Here is a 1,540-nt window from a genome sequence, read left to right on the forward strand (position 1 = left end):
GAAGAAGTCGGTGATGCTATGTGAAGACTCAATCTTCCATTGCTGGCTTTGAAAATGGAGGAGCTGGCCACGAGCTAAGGAATATGGAGGGAATTTTGAAACTGGAAAACGCAAGGAAATGGATTCTCCTCTAGAGCCCCCAGAAAGGAATACAGCCCTGCCGACACTTTTATTTGAGCCCAGTGAGACCTTTGTAGGACTTCTGACCTACAGAACTGTTAGATAAAAAATTTATATTATTTAAGCCACCAAGCTTGTGGTCATTTGTTACAGCAGTAATAGGGAACTGCAGCTGGCTTCTGGTTGAATTTGGCTAATGGGAATCATCTGAAGAAGATCAGATGCTGAGAGGAAGAAGTGGTTGGAGTACTCCTTTACTATTCTCCACTTGCTCTGCGCTGAGTGTCCTGGTGAGGGCGACATCTCTCCCCAGCTAGAATGTCTCCTCCACTGCTCTGGCTCTCAATGGGATGCTGAGGCACCATTTCCTGTTTGCCCCTTCAAGCCTAGGGCTGGTAAGGACTTCCTGTTCTTATCTGTCTTCTTACTCTACCCACAATTTCATAAGTAGTTCGTGAAGTAGCTCAAATAGTGTTCCCCAAAATTCACGTTCACCCAGAACCTCAGAAGGTGACCATATTTGGAAATAGGGTCTGTGAAGGTATAATTAACTAAGGATCTTGAGATGAAATCATCGGATATTTAGGGTGACCCCTAAATCCAATGACTGGTGTCTTTGTGAGAAGAGGAAAAAACACAGAGAGACACACCAAGAAAGCCATGTGAAGATGGAGGCAGATTAGGGTGATGCCTCTTCAAGCCAGTGAATGCCCAGGATTGTGAGCAAACACCAGATACTAAGAGAGACGCATGGGCTTTCCCTCAGAGCCTCTAGAAGAAACCAATTCTGTCAACACCTTAAGTTTGGACTTCTAGCCTCCTTAACTGTGAGAAAATAAATTTCTTTTGTTTTAAGCCACTGGGTTTGCGGTAATTTATTATGGCATCTCTGGGGAATTAATGCAACACCTTTGTTAAAGTCTCTTGAAGCATTCAAGTAGGCTTCCATTTTCCACTCTGGCTGGCAGAATTCTATTTTTATTACCCTTTAAAATGGCACAAAAATAGGAGGAATAGTTATCTTCTGGATTATGGGGTCAAAATTAAAAATAATCTTAAAAATCTAGCATAAAGGGCTGTACCTGGAAAATGTGAAAAATAACAGCTTTGTACTTCAGTTCAAAAAAATCAGTTGCCATTATTGCCCATGGAACCTTAGACAAATCACTTAGTATTCCTGACTCTAAGTTATATCATGTTTAGAATGGAGATGATAAAACCTGTTCCCCTTACATTCTTTTAAGAGCAAGAAGAAATAACTGAATACAGGGAAATGAGTGCAGAATAGGAGTCATTCGATATGAAGCTAAACTTGGCTTTGTCACCAATAAGCTGTGTAAATCTTCCTTAAGTAAATTAACCTTAATGTTCTCTAGTTCTCTCATGAGAAGGTTGGACTAGATGCTTGACAAGTGGATCA

At 41.0% G+C, this 1,540-nt stretch overlaps 1 annotated feature.

The window, feature by feature from the left end:
• Positions 228 to 742: an enhancer, noted in NCBI's record as "OCT4-NANOG hESC enhancer chr7:115807196-115807710 (GRCh37/hg19 assembly coordinates)". NCBI's record gives its function as "activates a minimal SCP1, AML or CMV promoter by ChIP-STARR-seq in primed H9 embryonic stem cells {active_cell/tissue: H9 hESC(primed)}" and the evidence as "EXISTENCE:reporter gene assay evidence [ECO:0000049][PMID:30033119]".

Source organism: Homo sapiens, chromosome 7 (assembly GCF_000001405.40).
Source record: "Homo sapiens chromosome 7, GRCh38.p14 Primary Assembly".
In the NCBI taxonomy this organism is placed as follows: domain Eukaryota; kingdom Metazoa; phylum Chordata; class Mammalia; order Primates; family Hominidae; genus Homo; species Homo sapiens.